This window comes from Homo sapiens, chromosome 21 (assembly GCF_000001405.40).
Source record: "Homo sapiens chromosome 21, GRCh38.p14 Primary Assembly".
Taxonomy (NCBI): Eukaryota; Metazoa; Chordata; class Mammalia; order Primates; family Hominidae; genus Homo; species Homo sapiens.
Window position 1 is genome coordinate 19,891,361 of NC_000021.9, and position 24,355 is coordinate 19,915,715.

General features: G+C 36.5%; 2 long non-coding RNA genes across 2 annotated transcripts in view; one reads left to right on the forward strand and one right to left on the reverse strand.

Annotated features, from left to right (window-relative positions):
- Positions 1–1,918: 1,918 nt before the first annotated feature.
- Positions 1,919–8,395, reverse strand: LINC01683 (long intergenic non-protein coding RNA 1683). Its single transcript, NR_146910.1, has 3 exons — positions 8,341–8,395; positions 6,663–6,724; positions 1,919–2,213 (listed from the first exon to the last, which is right to left on the reverse strand). It is a non-coding gene; the product is annotated as a long intergenic non-protein coding RNA 1683 (long non-coding RNA).
- A 28-nt stretch (positions 8,396–8,423) lies between these two features.
- The window catches only part of LOC105372745 (uncharacterized), a 122,882-nt gene continuing 106,950 nt past the window's right edge, over positions 8,424–24,355 (forward strand). The window contains exon 1 of the long non-coding RNA XR_937603.2: positions 8,424–8,653. This is a non-coding gene — a long non-coding RNA (uncharacterized LOC105372745). The remainder of the gene's footprint in view (positions 8,654–24,355) is intronic.

Here is a 24,355-nt window from a genome sequence, read left to right on the forward strand (position 1 = left end):
TTTTCAAAATACATAAAAACAAGCTATCCTCCCCTTGGTCTGGCATCTTTCCTACCTCCCTGCTAATCCTCTCATGCGCACTTCTAGAAAGACTGCTTTATGCTTGCCTCCTTTACCTCCGCAGATACAGTAATAACTTTTCAATGCATTGTTCTTGGCCTTTTTATTCTCTGTAAACTGTTCTTGCAAATATATCTGATATGGTTTGGCTCTGTGTCCCCATCCAAATCTCATGTTGAATTGTATCTCCCAATGTTGGTGGAGGGATCTGGTGGGAAGTGATTGCATTATGAGGGCAGATTTCGCCATGGTGTTCTCACTATAGTGATTTCAGTCTCATGAGATCTGATGGTTCGAAACCGTGTGGAACTCCCCCCTCGTTCTCTCTCTCTCCTGCCACCATGTGAAGAATGTGCTTGCTGCGGGGAGCGGTGGCTCACGCCTGTAATCCCAGCACTTTCGGAGGCGAGGCGGGTGGATCAGGAGGTCAGGAGATCGAGACCATCATAGCTAACACGGTGAAACTCCGTCTCTACTAAAAATACAAAAAATTAGCCAGGCGTGGTGGCGGGCGCCCGTAGTCCCAGCTACTCTGGAGGCTGAGGCAGCAGAATGGCGTGAACCCGGGAGGCGGAGCTTGCAGTGAGCCGAGATCGAGCCACTGCACTCCAGCCTGGGCAACAAAGCCAGACTCCGTCTCAAAAAAAAAAAGAAAGAATGTGCTTGCTTCCCCTCCGCCCTCCACCATGATTGTAAGTTTCCTGAGGCCTCTCAGTTATACTTCCTGTTAAGCCTGTGGAACTGTGAATCAATTAAACCTCTTTCTTCATAAATTACTCAGTTTCAGATAGTTCTTTATAGCAGTGTGAAAACAGACTAATACAATATCCAACATCATACAAATTTAAAAAACGGAAATTTTCCTGTCATACAATTGTACTTTGCTGATAATATTTAACACTATTAGTTGTTTTTTAAACTTTGTTTAAATCTCTACCTTTTTTTCCAGGTTTCCTACCCTTTCCCCTTCACTTACCGTGTGTGTTTTTAAATTGAAGTTAAAAGTAGAAAAGATAAATTGTGCCTTTTAATTGAAATATTTTGTTTGTTGACATATATTGTTTTCTTTCTTATATTTGAGTTTATGTAGACCGTTTTTCTTTACTGTTTGTCTCAACTCTTTTGTTTTTTCTTTACTATATTACCTCCTTTGGGATTAACCAAGTTTTTTTAATTCCAATTTTTCCATTTTTCCTATGTTACTATCAATATACATTTTTTAACTACTGTATTATCCCAGCAACATGAATCTTTGACATATTATACCCATGTATAAATAAGAAAATTTACAACTTGTCAGATAATATTATGACCTTAAAACAGTTTACTCCTCTCACCATTTATGTGATTTTAAAAATTAATTTTATTTCTCTATGTATTTAACACTTACGGGTGATCAGCTGGTTCTTTTCTTCTTAAATATTAATTTACTTGTATTGTTACCATCTCTATTGTTCTTTATTTCTGTCTACATACTTATGCTTCCCTCCAGGATCATGTTCCTTCTGCCTAAAGTGGCACATTAATATTTTTTAAAAACAGGTCTACTAGGACATTTTTCAGCCTTGTATTATACCATGCTATAAATTTTATAATGAGGGAGGGCCCTTTCCTCTTTTAGGGAGTGGCCAACATTTAACGTATTTCAGGAAAACATTAAAAATTAAACAGGACAAGTACTTGTTTTTTTTATTTTTTATTATACTTTAAGTTCTAGGGTACATGTGCACAACGTGCAGGTTTGTTACATATGTATACATGCGCCATGTTGGTGTGCTGCACCCATTAACTTGTCATTTACATTAGGTATGTCTCCTAATGCTGGACATGTACTTGTTGATGGCTTACTTTTATTTCCTTAATTTTCTTTGCTTTTATGAAACAACCAACAACTTTCCTCTCATCCTACTCATAACAACTCTCCATTTACTAGTATCCACTCACAGAGATCAAAATTTGACATATCGACATTATATTTTTGACCTTGGTATTACTTAGGAAATGTTTTGGTCCACTTTGGATTGCTACCAAATAGAGTGGTGACTAAGTTTTAGCACATTTTGGATCTTGACAGTGGCCCAGTGTAGAGGTGGTGACCTACTTCCCAGCAGGGCAGACTTGAAGTCCAGATGAATGACTGTGGTAGATGATGGCTATGTGGAGTATAAGAAGCAAACATTCTTAGTATGCTTTTCTTGGAGAGAAAATTGTGCAGAGAAAATACATTTTCCTGATCCTTTCAGAAAAATTCTACCTCTGAAGGGAGTGGAGGTTGGAGAGTGAAGAGGTTGAAGTCTTCCCAAGTTCAGTGTTGTTTTTTTCTATGGGTAACTGTCTTTCTCTTACAGTAAAATATATACATAAGTTAGATAACACCTATCAGTAATACCTTAGATTATTTCTACAATGTAGGCTGCAAAACATTAAAGGGTCAAGCAGTTTTCACATTTTAAGCAATTTACTTTTAATTAACAAAAAATGGTTTTACTTATTTACGGTGTGGCATGTGATGCTTCAATAAATTGATGCACTGTGGAATGACCATATCAAGCTAACAAATTTAACATATTTATTATCTCACATATTTACCATTGTTTTTTGCAGTGAGAAAACTTTTAAAATCTCCTCTCAGCAACTTTGAAATATATAATACATAAATATCAACTCTAGTCCCTTCACTGCGCAATAGATCACCAGAAGTTATTCCTCTCATTTAACTGAAATTTGTGTCTTTTGAACAAAATTTTCCCTTTTCCCATCCATGTCCTCCTCATCCCTCAGGCTCTGGTAACCACAAATCTACTCTCTGCATTTATGAATTCAAATTTTTAATTCTGCATATAAGTGAGATCATGTGATAATTGTTTTTCTGTGTTTGGCTTATTTTACTTAGCATAATATCCTCCAGATTTGCTTATTTTGTTGCAAACCTTAAAAGCTTAATAGAATTCCATGCTCTCTCTGTCTCTCTGTGTTTGTGTGTGTGTGTGTATCTATGTGTTTCTGTGTGTATCACATTTTAAAAATGTATTTATCTGCTGATGGATACTTATGTTTCTTCCAAATATTGCCTACTGTGAATAATACTGGAGTGAATATAGGAGTGCAAACATCTCTTCACCATACTTATTTCAATTCATTTGAATATACCCAAAAACGGGATTGCTGGATTAGATGGTAATTCTATTTTTCTTTTTTTGTGAAACTTCCATAATATTTTTCCAAAGTATTTTTCAAAATGTAGACAGTTATATATACCAAAATATATGCATATATGAGTAGATATATACAGCATTGTGAAAAAGAGAACAAACATGGAGTGGGATCTATCTTACTTAATGTTACAAAAAAAAAGAGAAGAAGGATTTTTCTGAGGAAATAATGCCTGTTCCTATTTTATGTAGTAAATGAAAGTTCTTCAGGAGAAAAAAAACTGAAAAAGAGTAAGTATAAAGCAGTTATGCCCAAAGAAATAAAAATACAAAATAGCCTGTGTTATTCCATTTGTGTCACTATAAACAAATACAGAGGCTGGAAAATTTATAAAGAAAAGCCATTTAATTGGCTCACATTCTGCAGGCTTCTACAAGAATAGTGCTGGCATCTGCTCAGCTTTGGGTGAGGGTGTCAGGGAGCTTATAATCATCACAGGAAGTGAAGAGAGAGCCACGGTCTCACGTGGAAAGAGGGGAGCAAGAGAGAGAGCGGGGAGGTGCCACACTCTTTTAGACAATGAGATCTCATGTGAACTCCGAGGGAGAACTCCCTCATTATTGTGAGGACAGCGTCAAGACTCATGAATGATGTATCCCCATGACCCACACACCTCCCACCAGGGCCCATCTCTAACACTGGGGATGAGTTTTCAACATGAGGTTTGATTTTTCAACATATCCTAGCCCTACATGAAGTTTGGCATGCTCTCTGTATCTCTGGGCAGGTATACCTTTCTCTCTGTCAGAGTGTCATTTTCTATTTCCATTCTCAACTCAGAAAGTGTGGACTTTAAAAATATATCTACTTTTTTTTGTCTGTAAACTTTCCCCTGAAACAAGAAGTTTCTTTTCCCTCTTGATATATACACCTGAAACATTTATCTTCTCATTTCTAGCAGGTCCTTTCTCCACATATGAATCTATATTTGCCTTTAATTTCACTCTGCCTATGGACACTTTAGTCTAAGCATATGAATTATACAAGAGTATCACTTTTCAAAATACATAAAAACAAATAAGCTATCCTCCCCTTGGTCTGGCATCTTTTCTACCTCCCTGCTAATCCTCTCATGCGCACTTCTAGAAAGACTGCTTTATGCTTGCCTCCTTTACCTCCGCAGATACAGTAACTTTTCAATGCATTGTTCTTGGCCTTTTTATTTTCTGTAAAGTGTTCTTGCAAATATACCTGATATGGTTTGGCTCTGTGTCCCCATCCAAATCTCATGTTGAATTGTATCTCCCAATGTTGGTGGAGGGATCTGGTGAGAAGTGACTGCATTATGAGGGCAGATTTCGCCATGCTGTTCTCATGATAGTGAGTTTAGTCTCAGGAGATCTGATGGTTTAAAACTGTATGGAACTTCCCCCTCGTTCTTTCTCTCTCTCCTGCCACCATGTGAAGAATGTGCTTGCTTCCCCTCCACCTTACACCATGACTGTAAGTTTCCTGAGGCCTCTCAGTTATGCTTCCTGTTAAGCCTGTGGAACGGTGAGCCAATTAAATCTCTTTCTTCATAAATTACTCAGTTTCAGGTAGTTCTTTATAGCAGTAATACTCTGGGGCATACCTAAGTCTATATATATAACTAACATGCTAGAACAGGTCTAGAATTGCTTTGGTAGATAAATGAATAAATTAATATAGGGTGGACATTTGCCTTTTTTTGGTGAACTTTATACTTTGGGCATATACAACATTGCAATACAATTTACTAAAGAAACAAATCATGGTAGATATTCACTTTACTAACTTTACTTGTAATTCAACAACAAGCCTATGATATTTTCTTTGTCAGTCAAATAAACCCACCCCAAATTGAGTTATTTGAAGGAGAATGAATCATGCAGATGAATGGTGTGTTATATGTGTCATGAGCTAAATCTCATTTTCAGAGATAACATTGGCAATGAATCTAGGGCAGTCTCTAAAATCCATTGTCTGTTGGCAGTGCTAACTTTGAGTTCTTAAGGTAGTGGAGGTTAAATATCCTTTGGACCATGAATTCTTTGCACTATGATAAAAGGATAAATTAAATCCTAATTTGGGGAGACTATTTTGATGATATCTATTCAAATTCATGTCTTTTGACTCAACAAGTACACACCTATTTGATTGTATTATAGATTTTCTTGCTCATTAGCCACAAATAAAAATAATTTTTGTTTATTGTTTAGCAGGATTCTAAAAACAGCACATTGGTGAAACAGTGGTAACTATATATTCATAATACAGAAAAATACTATGGGTCTCACAATCTGCTATCAAAGGTGTGTATTTATCTGGAGTCTCAAATGGCAAAATAACTCACTTCCAAGCTCGTGTAGGCTGTTGGTAGAATTTGTTTTCTTGAAGCTCTGTGGCTGAGGGCTCTGGATCCATAAAGGTTGTCAAATGGAGGCCACCTTTAGTGCTTAGCCATTTATTTTTTCTGCCACGTAACCTTTTTCGTAAGCAGACCCTCACCAAAACATCTCAGTTTGCTTCTTAAAGATCAACAGGACAAGGAGAGCTAGCAGAACAGTTTTACACAGTGTAATGTAATCACAGATGTGACATTGCTTTATGTGTGTCATATTCTGTTAGTTAGAAGCAAGTCACAAATCTAGTTCACATTCTAAAGAAGGGGATTACACAAAGGCTTTAACACCAAGAGATTGAAAACCTTAGGGTCTGTCTGCCACAACAGAAAGAATCAAATATTAAGAGAGAAAAATATGTTCCATTTGCATATAGCACAGAGTGCCTAAAGAAAATACAGAAATGTGTTAATATTTATACAGGATGGTGATATATATAACTTAGTAAGTAAAAATCTGTACCAATTGCATTGCATTTTCAAGGGAGTCTTAAATAACATAAAACATTTGATGACTAAGTACTAATGAAGTAGTATTCCTTGACTGTGACTTTGTGCCAATAATAAAATATTCCTTTCTCTAGGCTAATTTATTACTTATTTTTATAATAAAATATATTCTGTGTAATCAAATTGAAAACACATATTTTCAAACTAGTGATATGAGTGGATATGGTGACATTTTAATGGAGGTTACCATGCTTTATATAATTTAACCGAGGATATAATCTTATTATTTGCATTACAACACCAATCTCAGTCCAATAATTATGGAGTGGCATTATTTGTACACCTCCAGATTGTCACTGTTTAACCCCTCTGATGAAGTAATCAAGTGTCTGGTTTTCAATATTGTTTAAAATACTCTTAATGTCTCTAGATAGTGGAAATTAGGTTAAGCTGAAGCATCTTAAAGCTTCATAACACCAAACAGATGTTCTTAAAGCTTCATAACATCTTAAAGCTTCTTAACACCAAACACTATGATCAGGAGGTAGTGGTTCATTTCCACCCTATTTCCTCTTACCTTTCATGAACTCCATTCAAACATATGCATGTTGCTGAGATATAGTATGGTGCTTAATATCGCTGGGGAAGGAAATAGAAAAATAATAACTACATTGCATTGAAATATGTGCAAGTAATAGTGTTCTAATAAAGGTGTAATATATTTTGTTGAATATAGAAAAATTGTGTAGTGTAAAACATTTTCCAAACTTTCTGTCTATTGTATTATATTTGTAAGATTTAAACTGATGCTCCTTAGACTGTAAAACAAATACTGCCTTTCAAAAATAACTAAAATAATTAGATTGTGTTTTCAGATGAATTTTCTGGTGCTCATATAATTAAAAAATAGTCCAATAGAATAAGAACTTCCAACTGAAAAAGAATAAAGGCATTGCCTATTGGAGTAACATATATACAGCTGTCTCTTGAGTAAAATACTGGAAAATAAAGATGCAAGTACCTCAATGACATAATACCTAACATTTTCTAGCACATTATAAAATGTAGTCTACAATTACGTGTATTATTATTTATCTCCTGCAATAATGTAAGCTTTGTAAATGTAGAAATTTCTGTCTATATTGTTCTCTGATATAAAACTACTGTTTAGAGTAGTGCTGAATACAGGGTATATATATATATGTAACTTTTCCTAAAATTTCTAGATAGTTGCAAACTTTACAGTTTTAATAGTTTGTTTTTTAAAAAGCATAATTTACAAAGCATACATGTATGCCCTTCCTTCCTTCCCTTTCTTCCTTCCTTTCCTTCCTTCTTTCCTTCCTTCCTCCCTCCCTGCTCGCTTGCTTTCTCTCTTTTCTTTTCATTTTCTTTCCTTCCTTCCTTCCCTCCCCCTCCCTCCCTTCATTCCTTCCTTCTCTCTCTCTCTCTCTCTCTCTCTCTCCTTTTATTTATTTTTTTTTTGTGAGACAGGGTCTCATTCTGTCACCCAGGCTAGAGTGCCATGGTGCCATCTTGGCTCACTGTAACCTCCACCTCCCAGGCTCAAGCAATCCTCACACCTCAGCCTCCTGAGTAGCCTCCTGAGTAGCCGGAACTAGAGGAGTGTGTCATCACGCTGGCTAATTCTTGTAATTTCGGCTGGTCTCGAACTCCTGGGCTCAAGCAATCCACCTGCCTCTGCCTCCCAAAGTGCTGGGATAACATGTGTGAACCATCGTGCCCAGCCCAGCACGTATTCTTTTTAAATACAGCCCAGGTTTTCCCATCTACAGTTATTTGATGTTATGACTTGTTCAAATAATCAAGTTATTCTTAAATTTTGTTTTCTTTTTCATCTAAGCAAAAGTTTATGGATGTTATATCAACTACATTTCATGTGGGGCATGCTTCACTACTATATATATTTATTGGTAATTGGGCGACAGAGTGAGACTTCATCACACAAAAAAATCTAAATCTTTAGTAGTGTAATTTAAAAACAAGAATTTTATTTCCACACCAGCTTGAAGTCTGTGGTTTTAAAACAATTTCTTTTTAAGGTGTGCTTTACCTCAAAACTGGGAGAGTCTGTCTTTTATCTCAAACAAAACTACATGGAGAAAAGGTACTAAAGAAAGACAAATGCATTAGATAAATATTTTACCGTATAGTTGTCAGTAAACCAACTTAGAATTATCCTGCAGGGATTACATAAATAAATAAATACATAAATAAACAAACAAAATAAACACCTTTATGAACACTCCGACTGAGTGGAATATGTCTATATTCTTATAACTGCTTCAGTTCTAAAAGCCGGAGACACAGGAATCATTAAGAGGGGTTGAGTCAAGATGGCGGCCTGGAAGTAGCTCCTGCGCGCTGCTCTCACAGGGAGGAGACAAAGGGCTGGTGAACACTGACCCTACAAGCTGATATCTAAGAAACCGTGTCGGACTCGATCAAGGCAGCAAGCCGACACAGAGAACAGAGAGGAGTGCAGCTGGGCAGCAGCCTGTCTGGGATAAACGCGGAGCCAGGAGAAGCTCCCCAACACAGGAAAGGGTGAGTGAGTAAGAGGCCCCTGAGGGCTTCACACTCTCCGCGGGAACCTGTGTAAGGTTGCGAATGGAAGACCCCCACCACCGCCCCCCTTCCCCCCGCCGGCCTCCCTGCACCCTCCCCCCAGCTTCTAAACTGAGGCAGAGAGCCACCGGAAATGTTGCAGCGGCAGCTCTCAAGTCCAAGGGGACCTCCACAAGCCTTGGACCCTGGAACAGAGGCACCAGTGCCATCTCCCCAGTAGAGACTGCAGTCACAGTGCCCAGGAGCAGCAGGATTGTTCCCCTCCCTCCAGCCGCCAGCCGCCCCTCCACCCTACACATGCACAGGGTTCAGCGCCAGCTTCCAGGCCAGCAGCCCCACGTATGCCTGAACTTAGCTGGTGGGCGCAACCACTTGTTCCAGGAAACATCCCTCAGAGAGCAGACAGTGAGGTAGTCAGGCAACGCCCGCTAGAGCTCCCAGCCCAGCTTTCCTGCCCCTGAGTGAATTCATCCGGCAGGTGCAGTCTCTTGTTGTCCCAGGAAATCCCTGAATATCAGGAGGGGATGACTCCGACCAACCCCACCTCTCCTAGCCAAGCAAGCCACGCCTGCTAGAGCTTCCAGCCTAAGGGCCTTAACTCTCCCTGAAATCTGCTGAGCAGCACAGCCTCCTATAGCCCTGGGAAATACCCAGAGGGCAGGGTGAACAGCTCCACCCATCCCCGTCTTTAGCAGACGAATGGACCACACTCACTAGAGCTTCCAGCCCAGCAATCTTGCTTCTGCCTGAATTTGCATGCGCAACCCTGTGTTCTCCTGGGAAGCACCCGGACAGCAGATTAGGTGACCCCCACCCACAACACCCCTGCAGATCCCAGCCAACGAGGACTTGTTGGCTTGGGCAGTACCCAGGCAGAGAGAAGCCCTAACTTTCAGATCACTGAGAGGTGAGGTGCCCAGCTTTGCAGGCTGGTTGAGGAGCAAGCATGTGTCTCCCTCCCAGCATCCAATGGGTAAGGATATGACTTGTCTGCCAACCAACCTCTGCCTTAGTGAACCCCGTGGGCCAGAAAACCTAGCAAAATAAACCTAGGCACAGAGTCAGTAATCGGAGGAGATTCCTCCAAGGCCCAGAAGCGGACTACGTGAGGGAGTCATCACTCTCTTCCCCTACACCACAGAACTCTACTGACCAACTGCAGAGGAAGAGCCTCTCTGCTGCCTAACATTCCCATGTCTTTGGCTTGTGTTCTCATTCCTTTCACATTTTTATTTTTTTTATTTTTTATTTTTATTATTATACTTTAAGTTCTGGGATACGTGTGCAGAACGTGCAGGTTTGTTACATAGGTATACACTTGCCATGGTGGTTTGCTGCATCCATCAACCCGTCATCTACATTAGGTATTTGGCCTAATGCTATCCCTCCCTAGCCCCCCACCGCCAAACAGGCCCCAATGTGTAATGTTCCTCTTCCTGTGTCCACGTATTCTCATTGTTCAACTCCCACTTATGAGTGAGAACATGCCGTGTTTCATTTTCTGTTCCCACGTTAGTTTGTTGAGAATGATGGTTTCCAGCTTCATCCAGGTCCCTGCAAAGGACATGAGCTCACCCTTTTTTATGGCTGTATAGTATTCCATGGTGTATATGTCTCACATTTTCTTTAACCAGTCTATCATTGATGGGCATTTAGGTTGGTTCCAAGTCTTTGCTTTTGTGAACAGAGCTGCAATCAACATACGTGTACCTGTGTCTTTACAATAAAATGATTTAAAATCCTTTGGGTATATACCCAGTAAGGGGATTGTGGGTCAAACGGTATTTCTGTTTCTAGATCCTTGAGGAATTGCCACACTGTCTTCTACAATGGTTTAACTAATTTACACTCCCACCAACAGTATAAAACTGTTATTTCTCCATATCCTCTCCAGCATCTGTTGTTTTCTGACTTTTTAATGATTGCCATTCTAACTGGCATGAGATAGTATGTCATTGTGCTTTTAATTTGCATTTCTCTAATGACCAGTGATGGTGAGCTTTTTTTCATCTGTTTGTTGTCCACATAAATGTCTTCTTTTGAGAAGTGTCTGTTCATATCCTTCTCCCACTTTTTGATGGTGTTGTTTGTTTCTTCTTATAAATTTGTTTAAGTTCTTTGCAGATTCTGGATACTAGCCCTTTGTCAGATGGATAGATTGCAAAAATTTTCTCCTATTCTGTAGGTTGCCTATTCACTATGATGATAGTTTCTTTTGCTGTGCAGAAACTCTTTAGCTTAATTAGATCCCATTTGTCAATTTTGGCTTTTGATGCCCATGCCTATGTCCTGAATGGTATTGCCTAGGTTTTCTTATAGGGTTTTTATGGTTTTAGGTCTTACATGAAAGTCTTTAATCTATCATGAGTTATTTTTTGTATAAGGCATAAGGAAGAGGTCCAGTTTCAGTTTTCTGCATATGGCTAGCCAGTTTTCCCAACACCATTTATTAAATAGGGAATCCTTTCCCAATTGCTTGTTTTTGTCAGGTTTGTCAAAGATCAGATGGTTGTAGATGTGGGACGTTATTTCTGAGGACTCTGTTCTGTTCCATTGGTCTATATATCTGTTTTGGTACTAGTACCATGCTGTTGTGGTTACTGTAGCCTTGGAGTATAGTTTGAAGTCATGATCAAGTTGGCTTCATCCCTGGGATGCAGGGCTGGTTCAACATATGCAAATCAATAAATGTAATCCATCACATAAACAGAACCAATGACAAAAACCACATGATTATCTAAATAGGTGCAGAAAAGGCCTTCGACAAAATTCTACAGCCCTTCGTGCTAAAAACTTTCAATAAACTAGGTATTGAAAGAATGTATCTCAAAATAACAAGAGCTATTTATAACAAATCCACAGCCAATATCATACTGAATGGGCAAAAGCTGGAAACATTCTCTTTGAAAACCGGCACAAGACAAGGATGCCCTCTCTCACCTCTCCTATTCAACATAGTATTGGAAGTTCTGGCCAGGGCAATCAGGCAAGAGAAAGAAATAAAGGGTATTCAAATAGGAAGAGAGGAAGTCAAATGGTCTCTGTTTGCAGATGACATGATTTTATATTTAGAACACCCCCATCGCCTCAGCCCCAAATCTCCTTAAGCTGATAAGCAACTTCAGCAAAGTCTCAGGGTACAAAATCAATGTCAAAAATCACGAGCATTCGTATACACCAATAATAGACAAACAGAGAGCCAAATCATGAGTGAACTCCCATTCACAATTGCTACAGGGAGAATAAAATACATAGGAATACAACTTAGAAGGGATGTGAAGGACTTCTTCAAGGAGAACTAGAAACCACTGCTAAAGAAAATAACAGAGGACACAAATGGAAAAACATTCCATGCTTATGGATAGGAAGAATCAATATCGTGAAAATGGCCATACTGCCCAAAGTAACTTATAGATTCAGCGCTATCCCCATCAAGCTACCATTGACTTTCTTCACATAATTAGAAAAACAACTACTTTAAATTTCATATGGAACCAAAAAAGAGCCTATATGTTTACAATATAGGCTAAGACAATCCTAAGCAAAAAGAACAAAGCTGGAGGCATCCCTTGACATTTTTATTTGCAGAGCATAAGTGTTTAATTTTAATCAAATCTAAATAATCGATTATTTTTTTTCATGGAGCATGCTTTTGGAGTAGTTTCTGAAAAGTCACTGCCATGCCACAACTGATAGAGTTTCTCTATGCTATCCTCTAGGAGATTTATTGTCTTGTGTTTTACATTTAGGTGTGTGAAAAATACATCTAGAGGTAATTTTTGTGAAAGGTGTATGGTCTGTGTCTAGATTAATATTTTTGCGTGTGAAGGTCTAGTTGTTCCATCACCATTTATTGAAAAGATTACCCTTTCATCACTTTTATTACTTTTGCTCCATTGTCAGATATCAGTTGATGATATTTGTATGGTTTCATTTTTGGGCTATTATGTTCCATTGATATATTTGTCCATTCTTTCACCAATTCCACACTGTCATGATTACTTTAGTTTAATAATGAATCTTAAAGTTAGGTAATGCCAGTCTTCCAACTTTGTTCTCCTTTAATAATTTGCCATCTAACTTTCCTCTTTTGTCTCTCAATACAAGCTGAAGAATCAGTTTGTGATACCCACAAAGAGCCTGCTACGATTTCTATTGGGATGGCACTCAATCAAGTTGAGAAGAACTGACATCTTAACAATATTGAGTTGTCCTATCCATTCACATGGAATAGCTCTCTGCTTATTTAGTTTTTCTATAATGAATTTTATCAGAGTTATGTAGTTTTCTTCGTATAGATCTTGTACATTTCTTAAACTTATATATGCATAAGGATTTATTTTGGGGAGGTACAAAAGTAAATGGTATTTTATTTTTATTCTTAAATTGCACTTGTTCATTTCCGGTAAATAGGAAAGCAGTTGGCCTTTGTATATTAATCACGTACCCTGCAACCTTGCTATAATCACTTATTAGTTTCAGGAGTCTTTTGACTGTTCTTTTATATTTTCTACATAGATAATAATGTCGTCTACATCTGAAGATAGTTTTCTTTCTTTCCAATCTGTAACTATATGTCTTGTCTTGTCTTATCGGATTAGTGAGGGCTTCCGGTATGATGTTGTAAAGAAGCGGTAAATGGACATCCTTGCCTTGTTATTGATCTCAGCAGCAAGTCTGTGTGTATTTTTCAAAATTCTTTGTATCTGAATTTTGGAAGAAAAAACTTTGAAGCTTCCACATAGGTTTTAGTCACTGAATAAAGTTGTATTTTGTACTGCAATAAATTAAATAGGTTACTAAAAGCTTGCAATTTATATCAAATCTAGTGATAGCTAACTTTTACATAGTGCTTACTATATGCCAAAAAATCTTCTTAAAGATTCACATGTACTGATTCATTTAATATTGTGTTATTATTTTTCTAGTAATCAGGTAAGACACCAGGAGCAGGTGGAGGTTTAGTAAGTTGCACAGCCACTTTGCTACAGAGCCAGCTTGCAGAATCAGGGAGTCTGGAAACAAAGTCTATGTGCTTGACTATGAGATTATAGACTATCACATCAAAATTTCTGCCTTCCAGTGTTTTGTAATGTATTCATAAAGTTAATGTATGTAAAAATTAAAGGATTTTAATATGATTTTGTTAATAAATAACAATAGTTAATGCTGTAAGAATTTCAACATGGATAAAACATACTTTATACCATTCAATAGAAAGATGTAGATTAGTCATTACATTTGAGGGAGTGGGAAAAGAAGAAGAGAAAGTATTGATGAGCAGGTTCTACATTATGAACTAAGAAGAGTTAGATGGATAATGGGGTAAATCATTAGAAAACAGATGAATTGTTCAAATGGTGTAAGGACGAGATAATATTAACTGTATCATTTTTATTGAGATAAATAGAGATAAATATCTATATACTTTGGGATTGTGATTGGTATTTTTAAAACACAAAATAAAAGACACAAAAGTCAATGGTAAAAGTTTATCCCTCTGACTTCATTTTCAAATACTTTAATTTACGTGTATTAATTAAAATTATAAATATAATAGCAAAATTATAAATAGAGAAAAATACTAGCAGCATATGTTACAAAAGGTTAATATCATTTATTTATACATAATTAAAATAATAAGCCAATAAAAATGAAGATCAACATAGCAATGGAAAAATAATCAAAACCTACCAACATTATGTATTGTTGAATTACATAGAATTTAAAAAGAAAAAAATTAAATTTACTTTTCAGTTAAATCTAAACTTGTTTCTTAGAATATAGGAAAATAACTTTGTTATTTTACACCATAACTAAAAGTATATATATATATAGCAGTGATATCAATACAAGTTTCACAGAATTATCTTTTCAGATAAATAAATGCCTCCAGTATAAGCTAACAGATATTTAAGGTTAAAGTTATTCAGAATTTTTGTTTAATATAGATGTTTAAAAATATACTTAGCATGTGTAAGATTTCCAAAGAGGTAGCATTCTTAAGAATTATGTAAACACTGAAAATCATTAAATAATTCAGGTTCCTAGTTATGCAACCTAGAACAAGATACTTAAACTTTTTGCTTCAATTGCAACTGCAAAATAAGTATATAGTAATTATATGAGTATGTAGTAATTCCCATTTCAAAGATTTGTTGTAAGATTTGTGTTTTAATATGTATAAAGTTTTTAGGACAATGGTTAGCACTAGTTACCTATTCAAGAATTACCTGTTATCTTATGGCATATTTGTTACATTTAAAAATGATTAGTATTGTAATTAGTTATTTTAGGAAGTCAGAACAGCCAACATAGAGTGAGATGAAAGGAATAAGTCTTTTTGTGTTTCAGTTTGTCCACATACACAACAAAGTTTTTTCCTACAAATCATTTATGAATTTGTCCTTTCCTATTTAAACTTCCATTAACCTCCAGGCTGAAGTCCAAGCCCCTTCCCTTGGCCTCCTCCAAATAGCATCAATATTTCAGTATCACTTTATCTCCTATCATTTATTTCTCCTTACCTTTGGCAATATCCATAGGACATTTCTCATGTTCCCCAGATTTATCACATTCTTTAAAACTCTATGCTTCTCCAATACTATTTATTCTATTTGTAATACTTTTTTTTCTAGATCATATTCTCCACTTAAAAGTCTATTTGCCCTTAAAGACATAGATTTTATGCCATCTCTTCTGAGAAGTCACATATTGCTTCCATTCAGGTTAAATCTTTTCTCCTATAGATTGTAAACACCGTAAGAACCTGTGATGGCCTGATTTGCATTTTCACTTTGTGTCTGCATTATCCTTTGAACATCTCCAATCGTGATTTGTTTCAAAATGTTTGATTTTTAAATTTTATTTTATTTATTCATAATAACAAAATAAAATTATAATCAGTAATATAATTTCTAAATGAATAATATTAAAATTAAAACTGATCCATTTAGCTGGGCATGGTGGCTCACGCCTTTAATCCTGGCACTTTGAGAGGCTGAGGCAAGTGGATTGCCTGAACTCAGGAGTTTGAGACCAGCCTGGGCAACATGGTGAAATCCCATCTCTACTAAAAATACAAAAAATTAGCTGGGCATGGTGGTGTGCGCCTGTAATCCCAGCTACTCGGGAGGCTGAGGCATGAGAATTCCTTGGACCTGGGAGCGGAGCTTGCAGTGAGCCGATACTGTGCCACCGCACTCCAGGCTGGGTGACAGAGTGAGACTCTTTCACAAAAAAAAAAAAAAAAAAAAAGAAAAAATTGATTCATTTAACAAGATGAGTAATTTAAGAATTTTATAATTTAAATAAACATCTGTGGGGTATGACAATTAAAATAACTTCTTAATATATTTATCAATCGGGTAATGTAACTATGAAATTTTTAGTCTAACATTCTTCAGTATTCTTCAGTTTTTTTGGAGATTTTATTACCATATTACAGCTATCTATGCAATAAGAAAAAGATGGAGAAAAGTTAAATGTTATTATAAGATTATTGATGTGGAGATTTAAACCTTTGATGGACAAAAGTACACACAATTTTTGTAATACAGAACATTTGAAATAATCACTGAGGCCACTCATATATTGTAACACATTTTCCTTCCCTATGGCCCTCAAAGTAACAATATTAATAACTAAATTTATCTTCCATTTGAATGTGGAATATAGACATTACCTCCAAGGTAATGTGCTTCATGACAGTGTTAAGAGAACAAAGATGATACAACATTGCATAACCAAATACAGGTCAGAATTTGTTTAAGTGTGAAGAGATTAAATGATAGCTAAAGAAAAACCAGTTAGGTACCAAACATAGTAATCTAGAATTGAATTACTTTGTGAAATGAAAATATCCTTGTGGAATGCTTGAGATCATAGTGCAGTAAAGCAAAATCATAAGCTTCTCAGTCAATTATGTAATAAATGTGAATGATTGCTAATCCCTAGAATACAGAATTTTGGGGATATGTTTCATGACACATGTGGAAGGTTTGTTTTTTTAACTGCAATAATCAAATAAGTTTGCAAGATATAAGTGCAATAAATAATATTTAGAGAAAGAAAATATGGTGTAACCGTGTGAAATTTTAAGCATATGACAAACGTAATTTTTGTGATCCTGATTAGAAACTATACTGAAGCTGCTAAATAATAACATGATCACATAGAAAATTACAAATATGAGACGATAAAGTGGAAATGATGTATTAGTTTTCAGATTCTACTATAAATAACCCTTATGTTTTATTTGTATAATAATAAATCCCAAGACAGGAAAGCTGTGAGGATTATAAAAAAAAAAAAAATCTGTGATAGAGAGCCCAGCATGGATCCAAAAGCATCTGAACTGGACCTTTTTAAATATATAAAATATAGGTTGTTATTTCTTTTGACAAGAGCATATTGGTGTCATAATAAATAAGATCAAGGTTAGAAATCAGTATGGGCTCCCAGCTGAATGACTTTCACTGTTAATATTTTCAGAATGAGAACAGTTTGTGCCTGAGCTTAAATAGTGTGTTTCTTTCTTGCCATTGCTTGAAGTGTCATAAATAGCTGTAGTGGCAAACACCACAAAGGAAGCTGAGAGGAAGCTGTTAACGCTTCATTATTGGAGGGGGTGGTAAAAAGGGAGTAAGGGAGTGGCACTCTATGTTTCAGCCTAGTGAAATTAATCTAACAGATTTTAAACAAAATAAAATATATTCTGCTTAATATATTAATAGAATTAATATATCAAATAGTTTTATACAATAATAAACTTTTACAGTATCACTAAAGGGAAAAATCAATCCTAACATTAAAGAAAATCAAGGCATTCTGCACATTGCTCCACACCTATAGAAAACTTGGAGAAATTATGCATAGGATTGCTAATGAAGGGCCACAAAAATGAAATGAGATTTTTGACTCTTTTTGAAATAATTCAGATTTTCAGTCTGTATTAAAATATGGAAATTCTGGCACAAAATACAATAAACACTGAGAGACAGTTATATTGAGAATTTTCAAGGAACTACTTCTTAATGTATAGCATGTTATGATTTCAAAGTCATGATTCTTTTTATTCATAATGACTGGTTTAAGCCTTCATTTTCTTTCCAGATTCTCTTTCGAAAGCTTAAATTAGATAGAAAGAAACATTGAAACCTGAAGAACTGTTATACTTTCTAGGAGTAGATACTTTTGTACCATTAAAATCTTTGAGTTTGTGGCTCTTCAAGAAAGTGGAAGATCTCTTCATGTGCTACAAAGCCTGTTTTTGTGTCTGTTTTTTCTGTTTCCTTTGACATTCTTTTAAAATACAATGTAAGACATACATTTAATATATGGAAATTTGATCATCTGCATAAATGAAATTACAACTTTAATACATATTAAAATGCCATACAGAGTGTATTTAAATTTTGTTTCTGCCATGGGAGTGTATAGAGCGAGTTTTCGGTAATTTAATAAGGTCCAGGAACAACTCTGTAAGTGGAATTGACCCTTTTTCAGTATTGCCATATCAATAATTGAATAGAATTACACTTAAGAATATAAAAATGCTTAGGCACACTCATAACCAAATGATCATAATCTGGATGCTTTGTTTAAATTATGTGATGAATGGGAGAAATTGTAGTATTTCTGTCAGACAGATTTCAAAAAGTGTAATTGCTGGAACAAAGGAAATATGAATACTTTAAGGCTGACACTGCCAAATTAATCTCCAAATGTTTATACTGATGTAGGGCAGGTGAGCCCCAAAGTGGAGCTTAACCCATGAAGGTTCTTGGCTTTGCCCCATAAAGAATTCAAGGGTGAGTCAGTGGTGAAAGAAAACAGCTTTATTGAAGCAGCAGTGTTAAGCTTCAGGGGTGTTGAAGCTCTGGCCGTGTTACTGCTCCATGACTGCTCCTGCAGACTAGGGATACCCCATAGGCAGTTTGCTGCAAGTGGCACTCTAGGGCAACTTTGCAGTCATGTTTATACCTGCTTTTAATTACATGTAGAATAAGAGGCAGTTGATGCAGAAATTGCCAGGGAAAGGGTGGTAAACTTCAGGTTGTGGGACCATTGCCATGGAAAGGGGCGGTAACTCCTGGGCATTGCTATGGCAATGGTAAACTGATGTGGCACACTGGTGGGTGTGTCTTATAGAAAGCTGCTTACAACCAGGCACTGTTTTAGCTAGTCCTCAATTTGGTCCAGTGTTTGAGTCCCAAATCCCACCTCAGTACAACCTTACAACGGAAACAATCATACACGAAAATACTGATTCTTTCCTTCATGACCAGTTCTGAATTTTATGGGAGCCCATCATATTCCCAAAAGACACAATCCTGAATACTGTAATTCCCTATGTTGAAATTCCAAAAGATCAAAATTCTGAAAATACCATGTTAGAAAAATTAATAAGAATTATTTAAAATATCTTTATTTTCATTTTTAAATGGGATTTATTTGGGAAACATATAAAACATGACAGAACTCTTCATAGGCCATTTTACACAATAAAATAGGCAATAATAACTTTATATTTTGTAAGCATACTTAGTTATACAAATGAAAGTCACATGCCTATAAGTTATGAGCAGACAAATCATATTAATAAAGAAATAGGTCAAAAAGCAAATTATATAAATGTATGTCACTATGGTTGGTAATCATGTGCATCCAGCTATATTCAGATGACTGATCTGAAATGTGATAAACAATGTAAAGGTCTTTGATGGCATCATCAATAACCATGATGGGTCACAATCACATATGCCATCATCTGAAGAGTCTAGATCTTGAGAAGTTTTATCTTTCAAGAATGCACATGTACAAAAAGGACATATCTTCATTTATTGAGAATGATTCAACATTTTTATGTACACACACACAATGCTTACACACAAAGTCAATATTGTGATAAGACACTTTTCCAGAGTCAAATTTGTGAAAATTGCATAAAGCGAGTTAAAACTCTCTGAAAGCCTCTACAGAATTTATACCTGCAGTACTGGAAATGATGCAAAGATGAAATACATACCATTGTGAATTGCTAAAAAATTTAAAAATAAATAAAAACAGGTTCATGCTTGCAATTTCCAATGCTTTGGGAGGCCAAGGGAGGAGGATCGTTTGAGTCCAGGAGTTAGAGACCAGCCTAGGGAACATAACAAGACCTTGTCTCTAAAACAATAAAAATAATGAAAAATTAGCCAGGTGTGGTAGTGTGTGCCCGTAGTTCCAGCTACTTGGGTGGCTGAGGTGGGAAGATTGCTTGAACACAGGAGGTCAAGGCTACAGTGGGACTCGATGGTGGTGCCACTGCACTCCAGTCTGGGCGACAGAATGAAATCCTGTCTCAGAAAGCAAATAAACCAAAATGCTAACAATTTAAAATAGTGGGGAAAAAAAAACTTAAAAACCGAAAAGAAAATTCTACATATGAAAAGAAGTGTATTACAAGGAAAGATCATGGACAATTACACAAAGTCCCTAAGACCTGACTAACTTTCATGATGACCAACTCTATTTTGAAGTTTTGCTTCATGATGAATAGCTGCTTTTATTTTTTAGTCTTTTAGAACAGTGCTCTCCTTACAGAATACATTTACATTCATTTTCTAGTTGGCATTGCTCTTTTTAAAATTCAGTTATGATTTTATATACACCAACATATACATTCTCTATGAAGTATTTCCATGGCTCTGTGTTGTTTGATGACACACAGAAATCCATTCTGCTTTGCACTCATATAGAGCACAGGTTTGACAGAAACAGTGCTGGTGATTGGATAGCAGTGCCATTGCCTAAGTGTCTTCTTATTTTGCCAAGCACATAATTATTTTCAAACCAGTCAGTAAGTTGAGTGGCTTCTTCAGGCAAATGAAGCTTTGAAAGTTCCTAGAATGTCTTCAGCTGGAAGGAATTCCAATGCAGGCAAATGACACAGTTTTAAGCTAAGGTTTTCATTGTTGTGATATTTGTGTGGCTCATCCACCCATCTACATTTTCTGCCAAATGTATTGGGCTGAATGGAGGAAAACTAACGTTATTGGTAACACTTTGAAATCCACTTTTAAAATCCTTGACCACGCCCAATTCCAAATCTGTCATGATGGTGTGGGATTCAAATGAAATGCATTTTCTTCTGTAAAGTCCACCAGATCTTCAAATAAGCATTTATAAAGTGCTTCATTTGTTCCAGTCATTAATACATAAACAAGCAAATAAGTTATAGAATTTGTGGATCCAACAGGGGCATGACTTGTATATAGTTGATTAAAAAAACAGTGGGGACAGTTTAGAAAGTGCCATCCCTTAGCCTGAGTGAAGCATTTGCCAGTTTTTCTATGTTAGATTTAATATTAAGTACAAAAACTCTATATTCGACCAGGCGCGGTGGCTCCCACCTGTAATCCCAGCACTTTGGAAGGCCAAGGCGGGCGGATCACCTGAGGTCCTGAGGATTTCTAGACCAGCCAGGTCAACATGGCGAAACTCTGTCTCTACTAAAAATACAAAAATTAGCCGGGCGTGGTGCTACGCGCCTGTAATCCCAGCTGCTGGGGAGGCTGAGGCAGGAGAATCACTTGAACCCGGAAGGCGGAGGTTGCAGTGAGCCGAGATCAAGCCACTACACTCCAGTCTGGGTGACAGAGTCTTGCTCTGTCACAAACAAACAAACAAACAAACAAACCTCTTTCTTTTTCAACAGTCAATTCTGTAATCAAGAATAGTTCACTGTTCCTGTGTTAGTATGCTAAGGATACTGGTCTCCAGCTCCATCCATGTGCCTGCAAAGGACATGATCTCATTCTTTTATGGATACATAGCGTACCATGGTGCATATGTACCACATTTTCTTTTGATGAGAACACATGGACACATAGATGAGAACAACACACACCAGGGCCTTTCAGAAGCTGGAGGGTGGGAGGAAGGACAGGATTAGGAAAAATAACTAGGGGTACTAGGCTTACTATCTGGATGATGAAATAATCTGTACAACAGGCCCTCATGACACACCTTTACCTATGTAACAAACGTTGACTTGTACCCCTGAACTTAAAAGTTAAAAAAAAAAAAAAGAATAGTTCATGGCTATGCAAAGTGGCTCAAGCCTTTTATCCCACCACTGGGAGGCTGAGGTGGGAGAATCCCTTGATCCCAGGAGTCTCAGACCACACTGGGCAACATGGCAAAACCCCAACTCCACAAAATATGAAAATATTAGCCGTGCATGGTGGCTCGCGCCTGTAGTCTCAGCTAATTGGGAGTCTGAGGTGGGAGGATCACTTGATTCCCAGAGGTCAAAGCTGCTGTGAGATGTGATCATGCCACTGTGCTATAGCCTGTTCAACAGAGCGAGACTCTGCCTCAAAGAAGGAATAGTTGTTCATTTAATGTGTTTTGTCACTGAAGGAACCTCAATATCTGAAAGTGTCTTCAGTTCACAACGTCACTGAGCTTGTTAAATTCTTTTTATTCTCTGACAAAGAGAGTTTTGGAAGGCAAGCATGGTTCTATGTTAAGAGGCAGAAGGTGTACACGATTGAATAATTTGGCAGGGGAGATTTCTTGTATTTTTCTCCGGTGTTTTTACTTTTATGATCTTCAAAGCACTCTGCACTTGTATTGAAGGGTGGCTGTGGTCTACACAGTTTGTAAGTAATTTATTGTCCATCTGAAAGTCTGGTTATTACTTGGCCATTGCATTAAGCAATTTTCTGCTTTTTCAGTACCAATAATAATCAGCTTTTAGACTTTATCTTTCATCATTAAGTAGCCTCGTATACTTACTTATCACAGCCTTTTGGTGAGGGAACAATTTCACTGTTCTCTCCTATTGTGTGGTAAGGAATACAGTAAGAAGAAATGATAGTTAATTTCCTCCAATGCCAAATATGTATTAATCAGGGTGTACCAGAGACACAGAACGAATAGGATATGTATATAGATATATGAAAGAAGACTCCACAAGTTGGACACCCTTGGATGCTGGTAGTGTGGCTCTGCATAAAATCCTTGAGACCCGAGGGGCCACTGGCATAAGTCCTAGAGTCCAAAGACCAGTGAGCCTGGAGTTCTGATGTGCAGGCAGAAAAAGGAAAGTCTGTCCCAGCTCTCAGACAGAGACGTGTTCACCTTCTATATTTGTTCTCCCGGGGCCCCCCGCTGACTGGATTTTCCCCACCCAGTTCACTCAGACTCACCCACTAATCTCCTCTGGAAACATCCTAGCAGACACTCAAAATAATACTTTATCAGGTTTCCTGATAAAAGCCTCAAGCCAGTCACGTTGACTCCTAAAATCAAATCCACCCCTTGTCAATTTGGCAGCTATATGCATCTCTTTAAAACATACTTAATTCCCAAATAAAGACAATAACAAAGGAATCGTCTGTCTAACATGATGCAATTATCCTGCGATTGTGATTTTCAGAATTTCAGACCTTAGGAATTTTAGACCTTAGGAATTTTAAACTTTAGAGCTTTAAACTTTAGGGATTTTAATCTTAAAATATTTCAGCATTCAAGTTTGTGACATTTGGAATTGTGTCCGTTAGAATTATGACTCAAACCTAGATTTTATAGACTTTTTATAGGTCAGAATTTTATTTTTGTCAAAAATAATGAAAAGGCATATCACAATATTGCTTTAATTTACATTACTTTTAGAAAAACAGCATCCTTGGAATTTTAGACAATTTTTTAAAACTGTGAAATGCCTATTTATATATTTTGCCTATATTTCCTTTGGTTGTTTGTTATTATAGATAATAGGAGGGAGACATTGTATTTTAATAATATTAACACATTTGTTTTATTAATCACAAGAGGACTTCATTAGTAATTTATTTGGTTTTTAACTTTTTTAAGTGAAAAAAATCGTTATTTTGTAGTCTACTGTACTATCTTCTGCATCTTCAAAAATTAAAATTTAACAAACGATTTTATCTTAAAGTTAGATCTAGTTTATTCACTTTCTACAAAAAATATATATTGACAGAATGTCAACCTAGCAATGAAAAGGTTTTGAAGAAACAAAGAAACTGTATGTGAATTTGATGTTTTAAAAGCCCATACTTTTTAGCTTAACAATTTTTGTGGCAGTTTCATAATAAGCCATACTTTTTTGGCTGATAAGTTAGAAAATCACACAGATGATAGCATATTTCAATAGCACATAAGATACGCTCACCCTACTTTACTGAAGTGACGCAAGCTGTCATTCTATGTATTTTTCCTGATAACTTCTTAAAGAATGTTATGTTTTTTCCCCCACGGTACATACCAGGATTTATTTTGCACAGAATACTGAAAAAAATGTTTTCAGCTCTGTTCAATGTTTATTTTTTGTGTAGGCAGTTCTTGGCATTTACAGTCTGATTTTTAAGGTGGGATTGAGTTTTAAAAGTACGTGGAAAGGCTTGAAAGACTAAAAACAGATATCTGTGAATTCTAAATCCTAAAATATGAGTCATTAATTCAAAGTCATGAAAATGCTATACATGGAAATTTCTGATAAAAACTTTAGTGTGAAACAGATACACAATCAGGTAAAATGATCCAATGTTTGGTGGTAAAACATCTCCTACATGTAATAGCATTACACAGTAAGTATGATAATGTTTATATATGTGCATTAAGGGGTATATTGAGTTGAGACATAAATCAGAAACCAATTCTCCC